General features: G+C 45.4%; 1 non-coding gene across 1 annotated transcript, besides 5 other annotated features; it reads left to right on the top strand.

Annotated features, from left to right (window-relative positions):
• Nucleotides 5,383-5,888: an enhancer, noted in NCBI's record as "NANOG-H3K27ac-H3K4me1 hESC enhancer chr1:16840925-16841430 (GRCh37/hg19 assembly coordinates)". NCBI's record gives its function as "activates a minimal SCP1, AML or CMV promoter by ChIP-STARR-seq in primed H9 embryonic stem cells {active_cell/tissue: H9 hESC(primed)}" and the evidence as "EXISTENCE:reporter gene assay evidence [ECO:0000049][PMID:30033119]".
• Nucleotides 5,525-5,814: an enhancer, noted in NCBI's record as "active region_266". NCBI's record gives its function as "activates an Ori minimal core promoter by ATAC-STARR-seq in GM12878 lymphoblastoid cells {active_cell/tissue: GM12878}" and the evidence as "EXISTENCE:reporter gene assay evidence [ECO:0000049][PMID:35858748]".
• Nucleotides 5,889-6,394: an enhancer, noted in NCBI's record as "OCT4-NANOG-H3K27ac-H3K4me1 hESC enhancer chr1:16840419-16840924 (GRCh37/hg19 assembly coordinates)". NCBI's record gives its function as "activates a minimal SCP1, AML or CMV promoter by ChIP-STARR-seq in naive and primed H9 embryonic stem cells {active_cell/tissue: H9 hESC(naive and primed)}" and the evidence as "EXISTENCE:reporter gene assay evidence [ECO:0000049][PMID:30033119]".
• On the top strand, nucleotides 6,033-6,196 carry RNU1-1 (RNA, U1 small nuclear 1). The gene has a single exon (NR_004430.4). It is a non-coding gene; the product is annotated as an RNA, U1 small nuclear 1 (small nuclear RNA).
• Nucleotides 6,035-6,144: a silencer, noted in NCBI's record as "silent region_333". NCBI's record gives its function as "represses an Ori minimal core promoter by ATAC-STARR-seq in GM12878 lymphoblastoid cells {active_cell/tissue: GM12878}" and the evidence as "EXISTENCE:reporter gene assay evidence [ECO:0000049][PMID:35858748]".
• Nucleotides 6,395-6,900: an enhancer, noted in NCBI's record as "OCT4-NANOG-H3K27ac-H3K4me1 hESC enhancer chr1:16839913-16840418 (GRCh37/hg19 assembly coordinates)". NCBI's record gives its function as "activates a minimal SCP1, AML or CMV promoter by ChIP-STARR-seq in naive and primed H9 embryonic stem cells {active_cell/tissue: H9 hESC(naive and primed)}" and the evidence as "EXISTENCE:reporter gene assay evidence [ECO:0000049][PMID:30033119]".

The raw sequence follows: 20,087 nt of genomic DNA, 5'->3' as shown, positions 1-20,087 counted from the left end.
CGTGTCTCCATTTTTTCATATTTTAGTAATAGGAGTCCAGTATTACCTCCAGGATGTGCCTGGGTTTCCTGATTGCTCTATCAATAATGTGACCAGTGGAATCATTCATCATGAAAGTGATTCTCTCCATCATTTTTGAAAATAGTATTTTTCCTCAGTTTATGCATGATTTATTTAACCCTTTTCAAAATGTTTTTGTTAGCCAGGTATGGTGGCATGCACCTGTAATCCCAGCTACTCGGGAGGCTGAGGCAGGAAAATCGTTTGAACTTGGGAGGTGGAGGCTGCAGTGAGCTGAGATCACACCGCTGCACTGCCTGGGTATCAGAGCGAGACTCCATCTCAAAAAAACAAAATGTTTTTGAGATGACTTTAGTTTCATAGTTTTAGGATTACAAAGAATGCTGCAGTCACCAGTCCTGTACAGATATCTTTGGTCATTGTGGAAATGTTTACCCTGCAGACATTTCTATAGTGTAGAGAGCTGGATGTGCCATTGCTACATTATAGTGCTTGTATAATGCTTCTAATCTGAGTCCATTCTGCAAATGTATCTTTCACGGGAGCAGTACCAAATAATATTCCAATATGAATGTTTATAAGAGGAAAAATGTGCAGATGTGCAGTTGAGCTGCGTGCCTCTCCATGGGGCTCATGTTCATAAAATGGTGGCGTTAGCAATCATCTGAGAGTGGAGTTTGTGGCCCTCTGACGTCAAAATCTGAGGCAATGGACATGAAAACCCTCACTGTACATCCTCTGTAGTCTGGCCAGAATGATTCCTAGGTCGGTGGTCTCTTATCAGGAGGGAATGCTGCTTGCTTGTTTTGTCAAAACCACAAAAGGGAGGGAAAGCATCAGGCTGTTGGTTGATAACAGCAGTGAAGCAAGTCTCTCCAAAGGCTTGGATTGTTAACCCTTAGGAAAAAAAATCCTAATTCTTGCCAGATGGTGCCGTGCATTTCCAGGCTCTTGGTGTCCCAAACAAAGAACTGTACATGACACACACAAAGCAGCAAAGCAAAGCAAAATTTATTAAGCACAGTAACAGTCTCAGAGTGGGGAGAGTGGGCTGATCTCTGGGATGTGAGATCAGTATTAGTTTGGTGTACGTTGGGTCTTTTTATGTGTGTTTCTTTCTCTTCTCTTCCCAAGGATGCCTAATCGTTAGCCAGTGTTTGCCTTTTGATTGATAGGTGGGTTGCTTAGTTACTTTGGCCCTTGTGTGCTTGCACATTGCCTCCATCCCATAATTTTAAGTACATGCATGATGTGCAGTCCATATGCATGAGTTTTAATGAGCTGATTATCATATGGAGTCATGTTAAGGATACTTTTTTTCTCTAATGCACATGCCTATCTCTGAGGAGCTGCCCCTTTACTGGTTTGGATCTCACCGGCCATGGGGTCCTGGCTTGCTTTTCTTTTTTTTTTTTTTTTTTGAGACAGAGTCTCGCTCTGTTGCACAGTCTGGAGTGTAGTGGTGCAATCTCGGCTCACTGCAACCTCTGCCTCCCGGGTTCAAGCGATGCTCCTGTCTCAGCCTCCCAAGTAGCTGGGAGTACAGGAGTGCACCACCACGCCCAGCTAATTTTTTGTATTTTTAGTAGAGATGGGGTTTCGCCATGTTGGCCAGGCTGGTCTCAAACTCCTGACCTCAGGTGATCTGCCTGCCTTGGCCTCCCAAAGTGCTGGGATTACAGGCATGAGCCACCGTGCCCAGCCTTGCTTGCTTTTTTAAATCTTACTTTTTGTTTTGGCTGCTCAACTTCTGCCTTATATCTTGCTTCTTGCTCTCCCACCCCATCACCTTGCTTCTTTCTCTGCTTTCACTCACTCTGCCTTTTATCCAACTTCCAATTCCCTCTGCTGTTCTCCTGCATCATAATGGCAGTTAGTGAGGGGAGGGTTTTGAGGTGGCATGTCCAACCTCCTAGCCTGCCACATCCAGAAACTGCTTTCGAAGTTTCTCTGTGGTCCTGTCAGCCAAGAGGGAGTCCATTCAGTTGGTTGTAGGGCCTAGGGCTTATTTTTATTTCTCAAACCTGACAAGATAAAGCTGGATTAATGCAGATTCTCTGCAGGTGTAAATTTCCCCTACAAAAGACAGTTTTGCAGAGTTCCTTCTGTTTGCTGGCTCTCTGACAGCCATCTTAAAATATGCCAAAGAAATATATTCTGGGGTAAAATACTTTGATTTTCTTCATCTATCAACAGCTTCACCATGCTGACAGCCTCCAATCCAAGCATACCTGAAGCTTTTCTTTGTTTTTTTGTTTGTTTGTTTGTTTGTGTGTTTGTTTGAGACACAGTCTCGCTCTGTCACCCAGGCTAGAGTGCAGTGGTGTAATCTTGGCTCACTGCAAGATTCGCCTCCCAGGTTCATGCCATTCTCCTGCCTCAGCCTCCAGAGTAGCTGGGACTACTGGTGCCTGCCACCACACCTGGCTAATTGTTTGTAAATTTTTTAGTAGAGATGGGGTTTCACCATGTTAGTCAGGATGGTTTGATCTCCTGACCTCGTGACCACCCACCTGGGCCTCCCGAAGTGCTGAGATTATGTGTGTGAGCCACCGTGCCCGGCCCCTGAAGCCTTTCTTTTTAAAAAGCTTTCCCACCTTTATGACTGCCTTCAAGTCTCTGCCAAAACACAAATAACAGTGACTGACTCCCTGCTATAGCAAGCTCAGAATAAATAGCTTTTGCTTTTTTTCATTTGGTTGGTCTTTGTTTATTTGCAGAAGCTTCAATGTAGAGTTGACAAGGACTCTAGTCTTTGACCAAACCTTAGTAGTTTCCTCTGAGCCCTTTTCTCTGTTATTTCTTTGCCTGCCAAGTCCAGTTTTAGGAAAGAATACTGTTGAGTCTAGTTTAGCAAGAGTCCTCGCAACCACCTTTGATAGCTAATCAAGTTCCTCTTAGTAATTTTCCATCCACTGACTTTCTTATCTTGCCAATTGGCTATAATCTTCAACTCCTCCTGCTGTATTCGAGGTTGAGCCCAGTTCTCTGCTGGTCTCTCTTGCCTACTGTAGTAAATACAATAACATCTGTCTCATGTTTTTAAGAAGTGTCCAGTGCAGCCCCTCAGAAACTACCTTTGCAAAATTATGACAACAAGAGAAAGCTGACATGGCTGACTCCATCTTGGTTCTAGCCTCACAGGCTTGCTGTCTTTGCTCATTCCTGTGCAATTTCTCCCAAGCTATCTTTGGGAAAAATAGAGTTTATAGTTTAAATCAGGACTCCCCAATCCCCAGGGCCATAAGACAGGTACTGGTCCATGGCCTGTTAGGAACCCAGCTGAACAGCAGGAGGTGAGCTGCAGGCTTTCGAGCATTACCACCTGAGCTCTGCCTCTTGTCAGATCAGCATGAGCATTAGCTGCTCGTCAGAGCTCGGACCCTATTGGGAACTGCTCATGTGAGTGATCCAGATTGCGCACTCCTTATGAGACTGTAACTGATGCCTGATGACCTGAGGTGGAACAGTTTCATCTGGAAACCATCCACCACCCCCTTCCATGGAAAAATTGTCTTCCATGAAACCAGTCCCTGGTGACAAAAAGGTTGAGGACAGCCAAAAAGGCTGCTTTAAATGATAACCTTCCCCAAAACTAAATTACCCCTGTAAAATGAATGAAAGGCCACCAAGTTAGAAGGATGAAAGGGGCCTGATTTCTACTAAGATGTATGCCTCGTTAAATAATTACCAGCCATTATTCCAGAAGTCACAAGATTGGCAGCTTCCCCAATTACTGCTGTGAAGAACATCACTATTGTAGAACCTAAGATTGGCCTCTTGAGATGTCTTTTCAGGCTTTTGCATTTCTGACTGCTGGAAGGCACCATCTGGCCCGAAAATCAACCAGTCCCTTAGCCCCCACCCAGAAGCTGACTCCATGCAGGAGGGCCATTTTCCACACCCCTGTGATTTCATCCCCAACAATCAGCACCACGCAAGCCCTAGCCCCCTCCCCACCAAACTATCTTTGAAAAACCCCTTACCTCCAAGCCTTCAGTGAGATTGCTTTGAGTAATAACTCTGTCTCCCACATGTCGTGGCTGGCCTGTGTCAATGAAACTCTTTCCTGCAGTGCCATGGTCTCCATGAATTGAATTTTTGTGTACATTGGTCAGGAAGAACCCATCAGGTGGTTACATCTGCAGGATGGTGCCAGTTCTTTCCACAAAGGCTGGTCAGATACCCAGAAAGCATTTCTCCACTACTACCTGGACAATGTGTCTCCCTGTCAATCTCCAGGGAATGGGGCCTGGATCAAGTATTTAGTATTCAGCAGTTACTACACTGTCACCCAATCCCTCATTTTCAATATTTTGCCATGCTTCCAGTGGCCTAACTGGCCACCATGCCACAGAATCTTTACTTTACGGTCTCCAAAGAGAACTCTCCACTCGATGTTTTGTGATTTGAGCAATGGAATAGAATCTGATACTGGTGGGCTGGGGGAGGTCCCTGGACACTGGTGGGATCTCGACCCCAGCCGTGGTGTCCAGGCTCTTGACACCATCGCGAGAACAAAGTCAAAGATGAGTCAGCAGATAGTGAAAGAAGAGATTTATTGCAAAGCAAAAAGTACACTCTCAAGAAAGGGGAGCTTGGGCATACCCAAGAGAGAATAATGGGTTCTGGGGTTTCATCTTGATGGGTTTCTTTAACCAAGGAGTGGAATGTTCACGAAAATTCCTGGGTAAAGGTGGAGATTTCTTGGAACTGTGGTGCCATTTTTACATCAAACACTGGTCTCAGAACTGTCATGGCACTGGCGGGTGTGTGATTTAGTATGTTAATGAGCATATAATGAGGGCCTAGGTAAAACCTCCATCCAATCCAGCACCACGTTGGGTCCACTCAGCCTTAGCCAGCTTGGTCCACACCCTGGTTTTTCAGCGTCTTAACAGCCCACAGCCTCAAGTCATGTAAATCTGCTGCCTAGAATTTGTTATCCTGTGACCACCCTGTAGTATTCCTGTCTGAAATCTACTTGTAAATATTCAAATGGTCTTTCACTTGGGCATTCCAACTTTGCTTACTTCACAGTGTTTCCTGCGTAATATATAAGAAAAGATGATCCAGACATTTGTTAAACATCTCAAATAAGATGTAGCCCAGGTATTTGTGTCAAATTTGGATTATTTTGGTTTCGTCTTTGCAGAATATAAAAAACTAACATGAGGTAAGCACTAAGGTGTGGAGATGGCTGTGCAAGAGATGACAAAGTCCAGCACCACGCTTGAGAGTGTCCAATCATCTCTTCTGGGACAGCATATTTTTCTACAATACGGATTTTTGAAAAAAAAACAACATCAAAAAAAAAAAACCTACAAGATTCATGAAACTGGACAACTGTCTTTATAACATTACCAGTGATAAAACCAGTAAGGAAGGCTGGTTTGCAGTCATCTGAGCAGCCTCTTTACTTTCATAAATATGGCTTCTCTCTGATATTAAACGGCTTCCAAATGCAAGCGGAATGCTGCATCACAAGGATAAGGATGTGAAGAGAACCGGTTTCTTTTGTAATCCGAAACATTCTAGTCTGCGAATTAAAAGCCATTATTTGAAGAAGGATGCCCCGGCTCCATCTGGCCACCGAAAGATTGCTCCTTAACACAGGCTAAGGACCAGCTTCTTTGGGAGAGAACAGACGCAGGGGCGGGAGGGAAAAAGGGAGAGGCAGACGTCACTTCCTCTTGGCGACTCTGGCAGCAGATTGGTCGGTTGAGTGGCAGAAAGGCAGACGGGGACTGGGCAAGGCACTGTCGGTGACATCACGGACAGGGCGACTTCTATGTAGATGAGGCAGCGCAGAGGCTGCTGCTTCGCCACTTGCTGCTTCGCCACGAAGGGAGTTCCCGTGCCCTGGGAGCGGGTTCAGGACCGCTGATCGGAAGTGAGAATCCCAGCTGTGTGTCAGGGCTGGAAAGGGCTCGGGAGTGCGCGGGGCAAGTGACCGTGTGTGTAAAGAGTGAGGCGTATGAGGCTGTGTCGGGGCAGAGGCACAACGTTTCATACTTACCTGGCAGGGGAGATACCATGATCACGAAGGTGGTTTTCCCAGGGCGAGGCTTATCCATTGCACTCCGGATGTGCTGACCCCTGCGATTTCCCCAAATGTGGGAAACTCGACTGCATAATTTGTGGTAGTGGGGGACTGCGTTCGCGCTTTCCCCTGACTTTCTGGAGTTTCAAAAACAGACTGTACGCCAAGGGTCATATCTTTTTTTGTATTGGTTTGTGTCTTGGTTGGTGTCTTAGGTGTTAATCCTACAGTGGAGGGTTTATGGGAATAGGAAGTAACATGTCGCCTGCATGTCATAGGAGAAAAAGCGAGCATCAGCCGTATCGGCTTTGTAACACAAATTAGCTATCGTGAAGTCCGCTCAGCTCTTCCCTTTCTACCCTGGCTGCTTTTTGCAGGGATTGGTCCGTGGTCTCCAGTCTCTTGGGTTCTCACCCTGTGTGAAAATCTTCGTGTTTTTCCCTACCCCCCAGTCACCTCTTACACAGCCTCTGCTTCCAAGCGCAGCCCCCACAGGAGTTTGTAGGATTTCTGTGCTAGCGGGGAATGTGTTCTCACCTCATAGAGCCAGGTAGAAATTATGCAGATGGGCAGTTCTCTGGGAAGAAAGCAGGGCCTTTGGGGCTCTCAGTGTCCCCGTTGGGTTGTAGACATAACACGCTTACTTTGCGTAGGGGAACGGCTCTGCCGGCCCCCAGGTGCCCTAGCGCATATGCACGGAGGCCCGCAGGTCAGAACCGCAGTCTCACCTGTCTTGGCGGAAATGCCCTGCGATCCTCCCGGAGATAGAAGGCGGGAAGTTTTATGAGGAGCCGGTCCAGTTTCCCTACTATCTCCTGCCGTTTATATATCTAGTCTTTCTTCAGACTTTAAGCGACTGCTTCATGTTTGATGTCTCACTCCCACATCCTACATCCACTGCCAGCCAACTTTATAGATAGCACCGTGACCCATCCTTCCCACCCCCAAGAAGCCCTTTCCTATTTCTGGTGCCAGTGTCCTCCCCAGTCCCTCTTTCTTCAGGCCCTCGCTTATCACCTTCATGGACAGAAAATACTTAGCTCTCTCTCAACCTGAGGTTTACACCTGACACGCGTCAGTGCCCTGGCAAATTCCTTAATACCCCTTCTCAAATAGCACTGTAAATCACCTCTTTTTAACTCCCAGAACTATCTAATTGGTTTTGTCCCTGCACTACATGAATACTAGTATTCCACTACAGAGGAAAACCCCAGGCCTAGCGATGGCGGTTCTGGGCATTGTGCCAGCCTCTCCCAGGGTATGTTTTCTGACCTCACCTACTTTTGATCAGCTGAGGTCAGGAGTTCAAGACCAGCCTGTCCAACATGGCAAAACTCCATCTCTACTAAAAACACATACACACGCACAATAATAATAATAATGATAATAATAATAATTGCCTGGTGCAGTGGTGTCTGTCTGTAATCCCAACTACTCGGGAGGCTGAGGCAGGAGAATCACTTGAACCCGGGAGGTGGAGGTTACTGTGAGCCGAGATCGCGCCATTGCACCGCAGCCTGGGCAACAGAGTAAGACTCTGTCTCAAAAAAAGAAAAAAAAATAGTGCATCTGAGACATATTATTGGAGACAGTAGAATCCTGCGTCCAACAGGCACTTGGTGCAGATCTGAACCCATTGAGCTATTGGCTCATGTTCCCTATGTTCTATTAAGTATCATGAGCAGAAATTGAGCTCTTTGGCTTTTACCCACTGAGTATGGCTATAGGACAGGTCTCTCACTCTCCCTCTCTCTCTCTCTCTCTCTCTCTCTCTCATTCTTTGCATCATTGTTTTTTGCCATCAGTGTGGGTTTTTGGTTTTGAGGTTATGAAGTGAATTTCTGGGGACAATCTCTGTTGGGTCGTGTTGACAAGGATCCAGTCCCTGTTTGGTGATACATGGCAGCTAATCTGGTCTGTGAGTCTTCTTTATTGTCTATTTATTGTCCTGAGAATAATGATATTTCCTGATATTTGAGACTGCAGCAATGATAAGTTGTTCAGATCTTGTCTTTCCAATGTTTGGTAAAAATTTTATAGGCCCAATTGTTGTCAATATCTGCAAGAGTGGCATCTCTGTTACAAGAGTGATCTTACTACTCAATGTCCCCCCTCCCACCCAACTTCGTTTCATAGGGGCTCTTGGCTTTAACAAATTTACTGTATCTAAAAGACATCTTAGTACAGGAAGAAAACTAAATCTGTAGCATGTAAGGAGCAGTTTTATTTGATTGGTATATTCAGGTTTCTAACCAGCTGAAAAATTCAAATACATGCCCTTTAAGGATTAAGTTTAAACCACACTACCAAAAGAGAAAAGATTTATATGATCACATATAAGCAATGGAATCAGCAATATGAGTACTTTTCACAACTATACAAATCAAATTTAATAATCTCCAGAACATTAAGGAAGTTCAGCCCTTAATGGAAATGAATGAAAAGAAATTATTCACCCACTGTTGCATGCCCTGGAAAGAGAATGTCCTGCCAGACTCAAAAGAGTATCACACTGTTACTCAGATTTTCAGCAATGAAGGCCCTCCAAGGATCTAATGATGTTCATCTTTTCAGTTTATTTCCTTCACTGATAAACATTGTTAATAGATACCATTGCCTCTGTTTTCACTTTAAGTGATGTTACTTAGCACAATTCATTTCTTTAGAATGCACCCTAGTTTGGTGGAAGGAATTTTCCTGCTTTATAAATATAGGATATTTTCTCATGAAACAAATTGGCATACTCTTTCAGTGAAGTGAATAGACAAATTAGATCTCTACAATTGTAAAGGAGTCACTGCCCCAATTATCTTAGGAACAATAATAATCATTTATATAAAATTAAAATAAGAAAATTAAGCCAGGTATGGTGGCTCATAGCTACAGTCCCAGCACTTTAAGAGTTGGAGACCAGCCTGGGCAACACAGTGAAACCCCTGTCTCTACAAATTTTTAAGTATTAGCTAATTTTTTTAAAGCTGGCCGGGCATGATAATGCATGACTGTAATCTCAGGCTGCAGTGAACTATGATTGTGCCACTGCCCTCCAGCCTGAGTGACAGAATGAGACTCCCAACTCAAAAAAAAAAAAAAAAGGAAAGAAAATTAAGAATTTGTTGAAAATTGTTTTACTACAATGCTAGGCTGCATGTCTTGCACCTGTACTCCCAGCAACTCAACAGGCTGAGGGGGAAGGATTGCTTTAGGCCAGCGGTTGGAGACCAGCCTGGGGAACAGGGCAAGACCTCGTCTCTAAAAAAATACAAGGCAAGCTGAGCCAGGAGGATTGCCTGAGCCCAGAAGTTCCAAGTTGGTCAGCTATGATTGCCCCGCTGCACTCTAGCCTGGATAACAGAGCAAGACCCTGTGCCTTATTTTTAAATTTATGTTATTTTTTTACTACTTATGCTTATTTATCTATTTATTTATTTTTGAGACAGAGTCTTGCTCTGTAGCCCAGGCTAGAGTGCAGTGGTGCCATCTCAGCTCACTGCAAGCTCTGCTTCCCAGGTTGAAGCTATTTCCCTGCCTCAGCCTCCAGAGTAGCTGGGATTACAGGCACATGCCACCACGCCCAGCTAATTTTTATATTTTTAGTAGAGACAGGGTTTCATCATGTTTGCCAGGCTAGTCTCTAACTCCTGACCTCAAGTGATGCACCTGTCTCGGCCTCCCAAAGTGCTGGGATTACAGGTGTGAGCCAACTCGCCCAGGCTCCTTATGCTTGAAATGTGAGGTTTCATTAGGGAAAAATTTTCTTGTTGAATTTCTAACATGAAAGAATAATAGATTTAGCTGTAGATTAAATTAATGGTCCTGGTAGTTTGGTACAATAAAATAAATGAAATGAAATTGATAGCAGAGAGGAATCTTTGATGCTTTTGAACAATTTAAATAATGTAATATTTATTATATAAAGACATGAAAAAGTTCATTACATTATTATTTTATTTATTTATTTATTTATTTATTTATTTTGAGATGTAGTCTCACTCTGTCGCCTAAGCTAGAGTGCAGTGGTGCAATCTCGGCTCACTGCAACCTCTGCTTCCCGGGTTCAAGCAATTCTCCTGTCTCAGCCTCCTGAGTAGCTGGGATTACAGGCACACACCACCACACCTGGCTAATTTTTGTATTTTTAGTAGACACGGGGTTTCACCACGTTGGTCAGGCTGTCTTGAACTCCTGACCTCATGATCCTCCTGCTATGGCTTCCCAAAGTGCTGGGGTTACAGGCATGAGCCACTGCACCTGGCCCATTACATTATTTTTTAAAAATCAGTGTGACTCTTTTGACAAATTAGAATGGTTTAATAATCTTGGTTAGGCTGGGCATGGTGGCTCATGCCTGTAGTCCAAGCACTTTGGGAGCCCGAGGTCAGGAGTTTGAGACCAGCCTGGCCAACATGGTGAAACCCTGTCTCTACTAAAAATACAAACATTAGCCGGGCATGGTGGGGGGCTCCTGTAATCCCAGCTACTCAGAAGGCTGAGGCAGGAGAATTGCTTGAACTCAGGAGGCAGAGGTCGCAGTGAGCCAAGATCACGCCATTGCACTCCAGCCTGGGGGGGCAACAGAGTGAGACTCTGTCTCAAAAAACTAATAAATTAATAAAAATAAATATAAAAAATTAAAATTATGTGTTCAAATACATTAAATATATGGCAATGAAAATGAGGCCTAGCATGACTGACTGCATTTTGCTCCTAACCCTTCCTACCCTGTGGTGACATCTTCCAGGCTAACTGCTTTTTCTTATTTCTGCACATAGGCCAAGCTATCTATGGGAGGGATTTAGCTTACAGTTTAACTTTAAAGCACAGATGATAATAATCCCTTCCCCAAACTAACTCCTGAGAAGATAGAGAGGTTGTATACACAAGTAACAGTGTTATGCTGAAGATTTATAAGAGCAGTGTGACCTGACAAAGGACGAACAATTTTCACCATCCCCTTGGGCTCCCACTGCAGCCCATGTCTGTCATTGTCAGACCTCTTCACCTCAAGCGCCTCCTTCTTCCTCCCTTCCCTAACGTACAAGGAGCCGGAAAATCGTATTAATTTAAGATGGTTCTTCAGGATGTTACTTCACCATCTGTTCAGTTTGGTGGCTCTCTGGAATAAAGTCACCTTCCCTGCCCCTACACCTCAACCCTCGACATCTTGGCTGTCATGCAGCAAGCGGTGAGTGCAGTAAGCGGAGATCACACCACTGCACTCCAGTCTAGGTGACCCTGTCTCAAAAAAAAAAAAAAAGAGAGAGAGAGAAATTTGGTTTTAGAATCAGACAAATTAAATGGGAGACTTACTTCTAATGAGACCTAGAAATGTCTAAATTTCTAAAATTTCTAAAAGAACTGAGAAAATTGCCTCCATCCAGGAAGTAAGCTGAAGGAGGTAAACTGTCATGTTTTCTGAATTGAGAAATATTGAGGAGGCTTTGTCTCTTTCACTTCCAGCTGCTCCTTCTCCTCCTGCCCCTGCACCTGCATAGTCTTTCTTACCTGAGCCTTCCTGTCCTGCCTTGCCTCTTCTTCCATCACCATCACCTAAGGAAAGTCCCCAGGGGTCTGGACCCCTCCCTGAAACTTCTGTTCTGACAGCCCCTTTCAAGGTAAAACCCAAACCCACAGGAAGAGGGGAGCCTACCGTTGTGTATACCACTTCACCAAAACGTGAATTAAGAATATTATAAAGGACTTCCCTGATCTAAACTTAAATACATTTCACTCTTCTGTTTCTAAAGCAGGCTCCAAGATCCTGTAGGCTTTGGCAGAAAATTTGACTTAACTGTTGAAACCTTTGAGCCCAAATATTCTGATCTTTATCAATTAATTCACATGCTGGTGAAGAAGGGAAGGCCACTAACTGGTTGCAAAAGGTAAATTGGAAGGATTTTCAAAAAGAGACTGAAGCAGAACATGAAAGGTTCACATTTTCACCAAATATCTCCAAGTTGCCATTCCCCAGGTCCTTCCTAAAAATATAGATTGGAGGATAATTCAGCATTGTACTAAAAAGCCAGACAAATCTGTCTTTGCTTAACTAAAATGGTTTGAGAGCCAGGTGTGGTAGTTCATGCCTGTAATCCCAGCACTTTGGGAGGCTGAGGCGGGTGAATCACTTGAGGTCAGGAGTTCGAGACCAGCCTGCCAACATGGTGAAACCCTGTCTCCACTAAAAATACAAAAATTAGCCAGGTGGCTACTCAGGAGGCTGAAGCAAAAGAATTGCTTGAACCCAGGAGGTGGAGGTTGCAGTGAGCTGAGATCCTGCCACTGCAATACAGCCTGGGAGACAGAGCGAGACTCTGTCTCACAAAGAAAAAAATAAAAAGAAAAATAGAAAAAAAAACAGCAGGGTAGTAGAAATATAATGCACACAAGAATGATAATCATGAAGACAATCTGATTCTACAAGAGTAAGGGAACCTATTCCATTAGAGAGCCAACTGAAAACATCAAATCCCAGTTCACACCCCAGGGTGTGGGGCCACGTGCCTGTAGTCCCAGCTACTTGGGAGGATTAGTAAGGAGGTTTGCTTGAATTCATGAGGTCAAGGCAGAAGTAAACCCTGATCATGCCACTGCACTCCAGCCTGGGTGACAGTGAGACCTTGTCTCAAAAACAAACAAACAAACAAACAAACAAAAACCCACAAAACCAAACAACAACAAATTGTCCCCTCACTCTGAAATGACAGTGGCAAACATCACTTTGCTATTGGAAAATTAATAGAAAAACACTCCCTTTTACTATCAACCTGGCTCTTTCTTTAACATGTCTGACCCATGGTTTAAAATGCCCAAAAGCTGATGTACTCAAATTATAATACACTTACCTGTTCTGCACCAGCATTTATTTTTGTCTGGAGGAGATCACCATCCATGGTCCTATAAATGTCTAACAGCATGGAATGATGAAGGGCAGTGTCTTTTAGGATATTTGGTTATATCTATATATATGGCTCTGAAGAAACCCAACGTTGGGTGAGTTCCCTCAAACTTTTCACTAGGCATGACCACTGCTCTATTTTAGATCGAGATTCTGTGGGGCAAAACCTGAGAATTATCTGCCTGGCTATCAAGAAGATAGCTCCTTGCATTTTTTGGGGGAGAACACTTTTGCTTCAAGGGAGTGTTTCCTCCCAGGATTAGAAATCTTTCTGTAACCTCAGGAAACATTGCTGATGAAAACCAGGCATGGTGTGCTGTACAACTTGTAGTAATCAGGCAGAAGTTAAAAGGAAAAGACAGGTTTCCCTGTACTTGGCTGACTCCAAGACCTGCCATAGATAGAGCCCTAGCAGATCCTCGGTAACACGATCTGAAAAGTCAGAGCCCCGAGGAATGCGTTCCGGAGACTCTCTCAACACAGCCCCTAGCAAAGATAAGAGGAAAAAACAACAAATGCCTTTACTACCTTCTCTTTCCCCCTTTCCATTTCTAATTATTCAAGTTTTGTTAAGTTCCCGATTTCCCTTCAGTGCAGCTGCAAGGTCACCAGCCATACTTGCATTGCAAGACCTGTGACAGTTTGATTAGCTGCCTTTCTTCTGCTTCTGTAAGCCCTCTTGCCTGCCCCACGAGTTTCGTGCCATCAAATTCCCGCCGCGCCATTCAAACTAGCCAACCCCCTTTCAGAAGTGTCTATAAAGTCAAGCCCTGTCTTTGTTCATGGCTCAGCTTTTGGATTTTAATCCACTGTGCCTGAGTGCAGTCAATAAATCCTCCTGTTCCACCTATCGGTCTCTCTGTTCTCCTGATTCCCACAACAGTAGTAGGGGACTGCGTTCACACTTTCCCCTGGTCTTTCATGGTATGAATAATAGACGGCATTTTTTTTTTTTTTTTTTTTTTTTGCCTATAGTCGCAGGCTCAGTCTCAGTGATTGTATGCTGTGGTCAGCTGTTTTTGTTTTTGTGACACCTTGTTTTCTTGTTTACTGTCCTGGGACAGATGTCTGTAGTCACTTGTTTCCTTGGGAGGCAAATTTCAGTCTCTGTGGGGGAGGTCTCCCATGTTAGCTGTGGTGGTACTTGGCAGGCAGAGCTCAGGGATCTAGGCTTCCCTGCTTTGTAGATTGCTCAATGGTCCCCAAGGCCTACTGGCTTTTAACACCACTTGAAAACCTTAGTGTTTTTCCGCTGTCCCCAGAATCACCTCTTACACAGCCTCTTTTTTTGTTTGTTTGACTTTTTCCCTGAGACAGAGTCTCACTGTATCTGGTGGCATCTTGGTTCAAGTGATCCTCCTACCACAGCCTCTGGAGTAGCAGAGGCACGAGTCACCACAGCCAGCTAATTTCTGTTGTTTTTGTTGTTGTGGTGGTTGTTTTGTTTTTTAAGAGTTGAAGTTTCTCCATGTTGCCCAGGTTGGTCTCCAACTCCTGGACTCAAATGATCCGCCCTACCTCAGCCTTCTAAAGCACTGGGATTACAGGTGTGATCCATCATACCTGGCCAGCCCCTGCTTTTCACTATAGCATCCATGGGAGTTTCTAGGATTTCCGTGCTGGGGGGAACGTGCACTCAGCTCATAGAGCCAAGTAGTAATTGTACTTGGAACTGGTGCCATGCTTCAGGGAGTGTTTATTCAATTTGCTAGGAGCCCATGAGGCACAGGTACATGGTGACTCAGTAGTTCCCACTGCACCCATCGCCCTCCTTGGTCCTCTCACTGTCTCTGGCAGGCAGTAACATTCTGTGTGAGCTCCGGTGCTGAAGACACCCAGGCAGGAAGGGTAGGGAAGGGCACCAGCCCCTTAGGTCCTGCACATTAGGGATCCAAGAAAGGTCTTGAAGAAACAGAAAGGGAGCATTGGGAGTAGATCAAAGTGAAAGAAAGAAATCCTAGGAGATTTCCTATCTGAAGGCACCATGAAGAGAAAGTCTGCCTCCTCTGGGCTGCATCCTCCCTTTGCAGGTGAACCGAGTTCTGGTCTCCATAGGAAACCAAAGCAGATAACTTTGTCCTGACTCCTAGTTAGGAAGCCAGGCTTTGTCTTCCCCTGTTTAATGCTTGATCCTGTAGTACTTGATTGTCTCTCCTGGGCTTTCTATGGATTCCAGGGATGCAACTGAGAAGTTTATTTTTAAAGCACTTTTCCTTGAAGTAAGAGTATTTTTGGCCAGGCGCAGTGGCTCACGCCTGTAATCCCAACACCTTGGGAGGCAGAGGTGGGCAGATTACTTGAGGTCAGGAGTTTGAGACCAGCCTGGCCAACATGGTGAAACTCTGTCTCTACTAAAAATACAAAAATTAGCTGGGTGTGTTGGTGCAGGCCTGTAGTCTCAGCTACTCATGAGGCTGAGGCGGGAGAATCCTGTGAACATGGGAAGTGGAAGTTGCAGTGAGCTGATGTCAAAAAAAATTTATTTCACTTTATTTTATTTATTTATTTATTTATTTATTTATTTAGAGACGGGGTCTCGCTCTGTTGCCCAGGCTGCAGTGCAGTGGCACCATCTCAGCTCACTGCAGGCTCCGCCTCCTGGGTTCACGCCATTCTCCCACCTCAGCCTCCGGAGTAGCTGGGACTACAGGCGCCCACCACCACACCCAGCTAATTTTGTTTTTGTATTTTTAGTAGAGTCAGGGTTTCACCATGTTAGCCAGGATGGTCTCGATCTCCTGACCTCATGATCCGTCCACCTTGGCCTCCCAAAGTGCTGGAATTACAGGCGTGAGCCACCACACCTGGCCTAAAAAAAAAAAAAAAAAGTATTTTAGAATCTTTTGGCAAAGGAAATGATTTCTGACTGACAGGTTTTGCACTTAAGACATTCAGGTGTGAGGAAAACACGAAAACCACTATGCTAGGGAAAGGAAATGCTGTTGAGAATGTCTCACAAGCACAAACTACATGTCAGCAGGTAGGTTTGACCCTCAGGTTGGGCACATTTTACTTTAAGCGCACTGTCGGTGGAACTTACAATGAATCTAAGACATTCATGATGTGTGTGTGTGTGTGTGTGTATGAGAGACAGAGAGACAGGGTCTTGCAATCTTGCCCATACTGGTCTCCAACTCTGGTCCTCAAGCGATCCTCCTGTCTCCTCCTCCCAAAGTGCTGGGACTACAGGCATGCACCACCTGGTCCAGCCCATTTTAATGTTTTTAACTTAAATACACATTCCAAAAATTATATAAGTACAGGAAGCCAACTTTATGCCAGTTTTACAAAAACAAAGTGGCAACATCCTAAAGTACTGAAAGAAATAAAGTTTTCCTAGAATTCCATGTCAAAGTGAAAAATCTTTCAAGAATGTGACTGAAATAAGGACATTTAAAGACATACAAAAAAATGAAAGAATTCAGCAACCCACACTACAAGGATACCAGACAGAAATCTGCATCTACACAAAGAAATGGAGACTACTGGAAATCGGTATGTACACAGTTAAATATACATGTTCTTATTATTTAAATCTTTTAAAATAATTTGACCGATTAAACAAAGGCAATAATAATGGATTCTGGGTTTTATAACATGTCTAAAATCAAATTACATGACAACACTAGCATAATGGCCAGAAGGGGAGGTATAATGTCACTAGATGGCACTGATAAAGATGTATTCTGGAAACCCTGAAGCCTTCACTGAAAAAGCAAAAGGAGGGAAAGAAGTCAGGGAGTGGTGGACCAGAAGAAAGAAAGAGTTATACCTAATAAGCCAACAAAGGAAAGAAAATGGAATGATATAAAAACCATGTAATCACTATGCTGGAACAACTGCTCTCCATGCACTCCAGCCTGGGAGACAGTGAAACCCTGCCTCAAAAAAAAAAAGCCCACCGTTAGGGCTGGGCAGGGTGGCTCATGCCTGTAATCCTAGCACTTGGGGAGGCCAACCTCGGGTTGATCACCTGAGGTCAGAAGTTCAAGACCAGCCTGGCCAATATGGCGAAACCCCATCTCTATTAAAATACAAAAAAATGAGCCAGGCATGGTGGCGGGTGCCTGTAATCCCAGGTACTTGGGAGGCTGAGGTAGGAGAATCGCTAGAACCCTAGTAGGGGAGATTGCAGTGAGCCGAGGTTGCGCCACTGCACTCCAGCCTGGGCAACAGAGCGAGACTCCGTATCCAAAAAAAAAAAAATCCTACACGTAAAAGGTCACCAAGGCTAGCAAAAATCACCTGGTGGCCATAAAGCAGACCATCCAGAGGCAAAACTCCTTATCTGAGGAATTTAGAGGCAATTAGAGTTCCTTACTATCTAAAGCAAGAATCTAGTTCCAGGCTTCTTTCCCAAAAATTTATAAGTAACTAGAATGTCTGCTTTTTTTTTTTTTTTTTTTGAGACAGAGTCTTGCTCTGTTTCCCAGGCTGGCGTGCAGTGGCACAATCTCGGCTCACTGCTACCTCCATCTCCTGGGTTCAAGCAATTCTCTGCCTCAGCCTCCCAAGTAGCTGGAATTACAGGTGCCCGCCACCATACCCAGCTAATTTTCGTATTTTTAGTAGAGACAAGGTTTCACCATCTTGGCCCGGCTGGTCCTGAACTCCTGACCTCGTGATCCACCGCCTTGGCCTCCCAAAGTGCTGGGATTACAGGCATGAGCCACCGTGCCCAGCCAGTAACTAGAATTTCTATACATCTCTGGAATACATGCCTATCAAAACTTGTGCAACCCTTGCTCACATTAAGGCACCAAAATGTCTACAAATGTAGTACATTGTGAGCCACCACAACCGGCCTACAAGTTTTTTTTTTTTAATCATTGGGTCAGGAGTGAATTGTTGGGCTGGTGGATGATGTCTGTAATCCCAGCACTTCGGGAGGCCGAGGTGGGTGGATCACTTGAAGTTAGGAATTCAAGACTAGTCTGGCCAACACACTGAAACCCCACCTCTACTAAAAATACAAAAATTAGCTGGGTGTGGTGGCAGGCGCCTGTAATCCCAGTTACTTGGGAGGCTGAGGCAGGAGAATTGCTTGAACCCAGGAGGCAGAGGTTGCAGTGAGCCGAGATTGCGCCAGTGTACTTCAGCCTGGGTGACAAGAGCGAAACTCCGTCTCAAAAAAAAAAAGGAAATCTTTTTTTTTTTTTTTTACAATATGGGCTTATTCTGTATTACTTTTCTGAAACTTTCACTTAATATATCGTAACCATCTGTCCAGTCATTGAACATTCTTCTATAACATTTGGAATGACATCATAGTGTGCCATTATATGAATAACCCATGGTTTATTATACAAGTCCCCTACTGCTGAATGTTTAGGTCTTTCTAACTTTTTGCTATTAAAGTCTGGCATGATAGAAAGACTCTGCAAGTTAGCCTTCAGATGCCCAGCAAATCCAGTTAACCAGAGCAATTACCTCTAAGCCTCCTGGTGAATGTCGTTTTGCTGATGGTGGGCAGAGTCCACCCCAGCCGAGCCGCTGGATTTGGCAGGCACTTGGCCTTAGCAACCTGAGGGTGGTAACTCCAATCAGTTGTTTCCCTGTTACCTGAGTTGCAGATTTAGAGCCCTCTGCAGTGAGCAGGTGAGCACCTGGCATGATTCTTTTCTGGCGGGTTGTCTTGGGGGTCACTGGGCCAGTCACCACCTGGTGACAGGACAGGGTGACCGGTGGGCGGCAGCACTGGGGATTCAAATGACCGCAGCCCGGTCAGGCTGAGCTGAGCAGAGCCAAGGACTCAGCACAGCAGGGAACGTAGGCTCTACACAGAGAGGGGAGCTGGAGGCCCCCCCAAGGAGGTTAAGTATGTGCCACCCTGCGGCAGGGTCCTATGGGCTTTGGGAGTGAGAGGGTCAAGGGGAGAGGAGCTGTGTTTGCCGCCCCCTGTTAAAACCTCAAGTGAGTCAGCACGGTGTAGAGGAAAGAGCATGGGATTGGAAGCCATTGAACTTCCTGCGTGTGTCCTTGGGCAAATGACTGCATGTCTCTGATCCTCAATCTCCCCTTCTATAAAATGGAGATGATCCTAGAACCTGCTTCACGGGAGTGTTCAGAGGGGACTGTGGACAGAGCGGGAACATAGAAGAGGAAGTAGGCGGCAGTGTGGTTCACAGCCAGCGCAGGCTGCCCGCAGGGTGCAGGTACTGTCACCAAGGGAGACCCAAGATGCCCTGGAGAGAGGGGCAAGGACACAGGCCTGAGCCCAGCCCTGGTGATATGAACACTGGAGTGGGCTTCACAGGGACAGGCAGCATCAGAACTGGACTGGGGAGGTCATGAGCCCACCAGGGCCTGGGTAGGGACATAGCAAGTCTGGGGACTCCAGACAGGGTCACACAGACCTGGGCCATGCTGGGCATCCAGGGACTGGCTGTGCATACTGGCAGATGTCAGTCAGCCCTCCTGCAGTTGGGCCAGGGACACCTCAGGGAAACTGTGACCTTCCTTCCAATCTTGGTAACATCACCCTTCCAACCCAAACCCCAGGGAATGGCCCGAATCTCTCCTGACAAACAGCTCTCAGCCCTGGTCCAGGCCACAGTCTTGCTTGCACTGGGCCGGGTTTCAGAGCCCGAAGGGCACACTGGCAGCCTTTAGTGCAGTGTTTCAGATGTCACAGACAGGTTCCTCTTTGACAAAGATGGAACTTCCACTGCTTCCCTCCTACCACGCAGGAAACACAGAAGCAACCATCAGCCGCGGGCCTGCTGGCCGTTCTCTCTGGGTACTGTGTTTGGAAAAAACACAAAATCATTAAATTAAACATGCTTTTTCAAACCAAACACATCCCTCTCTTAGCCCTAGAGATTCAGAGCTGCCTCTCCCTTTGAAAATGAATGATCTCGGCCGGGTGCGGTGGCTCACGCCTGTAATCCCAGTACTTTGGGAAGCCAAGACGAGTGGATCGCGAGGTCAGGAGTTCGAGACAAGCTTGGCCAATATGGTGAAACCCCGTCTCTACTAAAAATACAAAAATTTGGCCGGGCACAGTGGCTCACGCTTGTAATCCCAGCACTTTGGGAGGCCGAGGCGGGCAGATCATGAGGTCAGGAGATCGAGACCACGGTGAAACCCTGTCTCTACTAAAAATACAAAAAATTAGCCCGGCGTGGT

The sequence above is a fragment of the Homo sapiens genome, chromosome 1, assembly GCF_000001405.40.
Source record: "Homo sapiens chromosome 1, GRCh38.p14 Primary Assembly".
NCBI lineage: Eukaryota > Metazoa > Chordata > Mammalia > Primates > Hominidae > Homo > Homo sapiens.
Note: the sequence above shows the minus strand (reverse complement) of the source record. Positions and strands in the feature narration are given on the sequence as shown.